This window comes from Homo sapiens, chromosome 10 (assembly GCF_000001405.40).
Source record: "Homo sapiens chromosome 10, GRCh38.p14 Primary Assembly".
NCBI classification, from domain to species: Eukaryota; Metazoa; Chordata; class Mammalia; order Primates; family Hominidae; genus Homo; species Homo sapiens.
In genome coordinates, this window is record NC_000010.11 from 130901025 (window position 1) to 130903228 (window position 2204).

The 2204-nt window shown below is 49.5% G+C and overlaps 1 annotated feature.

The window, feature by feature from the left end:
• Window positions 224-1116: an enhancer, noted in NCBI's record as "H3K4me1 hESC enhancer chr10:132699511-132700403 (GRCh37/hg19 assembly coordinates)". NCBI's record gives its function as "activates a minimal SCP1, AML or CMV promoter by ChIP-STARR-seq in naive H9 embryonic stem cells {active_cell/tissue: H9 hESC(naive)}" and the evidence as "EXISTENCE:reporter gene assay evidence [ECO:0000049][PMID:30033119]".

Consider the following 2204-nt stretch of genomic DNA (forward strand, 5'->3'; position numbering starts at 1 on the left):
AGAAGGCTCCTGGGTGATTCCTTTCCCAGGCTGGCAACACCCTGTGGAAGGCCTCCTACATTTTGCATGAACTTTAACACAAAGAGTAGCTGGAGCGAATGATTTATTTCATTTTTCCTGAAAATATGCCGCCTTTAAACATGAGACCCAAATACCTGCTTGTATACTAAATAGAATTAATTTGGTTAAGATTTCTCCTACAGCATCGTGGTACTACCAAGTAAAAACAAATTATTCTGTAAATCGGGTCAACAAAGAAGCACCTGGATCCTCATTTTCACTAGTGGGAAGAGGTCCTTCTCCAAGACTTGCAGTGGGCAATGGCCTCCTCCTTCCAGATGTGTTGGGGGCTTGTTCCCTCTCCGTCCTCCCTGTTGGGGATCTCTAAGGTATGTTGGTGACTTCGAAGGGGAATCCTGCAGCCAGTGCTGTGCACCAGAAGGTCTCAGCATCCCCCTTGTGGCCAACTGCCCTTGGGGATTCTGTGGGTGGGTCCCTCCCCACTGTGGCTGATGGCTGAGCTCGCACACCTGCCATGGGGCTCAGGCTGTTTTCCAGTCTTGCCGCATGGCCAGTGCATCCCTGGGCTGGCCTTGCCTGAGGGCGACCCTGCTGGGAGGGTGACTCCTTTTCCTCTCCCCTTTGGCTTCTTTTGGCTCCTTTAAATGTCTCCTCCCAGCAAGGAATGCGCGGAAGCAGCCTGCAGGACCTCTCCTGCACAGTGTGTGGCTGCAGATGAAGTGGGGTGCTTGCACACGTGCCTGCAGAATTCATCGGGCTCTCAGGCACTGGCAGATCAGAGAGGACTTGGGAAGTGATGTATTATTTACAACTGCGGTTCCCCTGCAAGCCTGGGGGATCTTCCAAGAATGATGGCAGATCCTAGATGCTTTCCGGGGAGCCTCTGGAGGAGCTGGCGCAGCCTCCGGGCAGATGCTGTGGTACCATAGCCAGGAGGCCCTGGGGTGGTGCTGATCCAAGGGTTGGGCTGACCTGTCCCCAGCTCTGGGAAATAGGACAACAGACGCCCCACTGATGAGCAGACAGACCCTCCACATCAGCTCCGCAGCATCTCTCACACTGAGACAGCTCATGGGGCCTAATTCCAATTAGCCCTGCAGACAGCATAAGCTTTGCATGAAGCAGGGAGAAAGAAGCAACTTAAAAATGGACATTTTCAGTATTTTTGCAATTTCGCTAGACTGGCAGAAGTTGTGCACACTTAATAGAAAATGATGATGTATGAGGACGATGGCTTTCTGATTAGGAGAAGTGAGAGAGAGTGGACCAGCAAGCACCCCCGGAGAATCACAGGTGTGTGACACTTGTGACTTTCATTGTCATTTTACTTATTGAAAATGACTTTGATAAAAATACCTGACCCAGGAAAGTATACATCAGTGGCCCACAATTCAAATATTCATTTCAACCTCTGTGGTCTCCTTTCCCTAATGTGACACTAGGTTTCATCTTTTGGGGACCAGATCTCTACTAAGATTTCCAACGCTTTTCCTGACCCTACCTGAATCAGAACTAGACCATATAGACTGGGCAACTGACTCTGAACGGGATTTTTAAGTCCCGAGGGAACCATGCACCCAGGCAGTCTGGCCTACAGCAGGATTCAGAGATGGATTTTGCACAAGTCAGCTTTTTCCCTGTGAACTCCCACGGCACAATTCTCAAACATGAAGAGTGCTGGCTTTGATTTTCCTGCTCAAATGGCTGTTTTTCTGACGTTATGTCAGCACCACTGTATTATAAATCGGCTTCACGTCACAGGTAAGACAAACCACGAGGTGTTTGCCTCCTCCAATCTTTTAAGCAATTAAGTGGGGAGACTGGTCTGTTGAAAAAGCTTTTAAAACAACATTTCACCAAGCATAATGATTCTATAAAACCGTTCATTTTCTTAAGTAATGACCATTGTTACTGACTAGCTGATTCTGTTTGCCTTAGAGAGGCCACAGCCTTGGTAGATGGCAGAGCTGAGAGGGTCTCAGATGGGGTGCTGCCTTCATGAACCCCACATCTATGGGGTAGACAGACCCTCTAGGCTTCAGACCCCAGTGGACATATCCATTCCTCCATGGGAGGGAACCAGCGGGGGGCTTAGAGACACTCTGAGATGTCACAAGGGTCCCAGATGGAGAATCAAGCCCACAAAGTCCTGGCTTCCATGATGAGAGGCCCTGCTCAGCCAA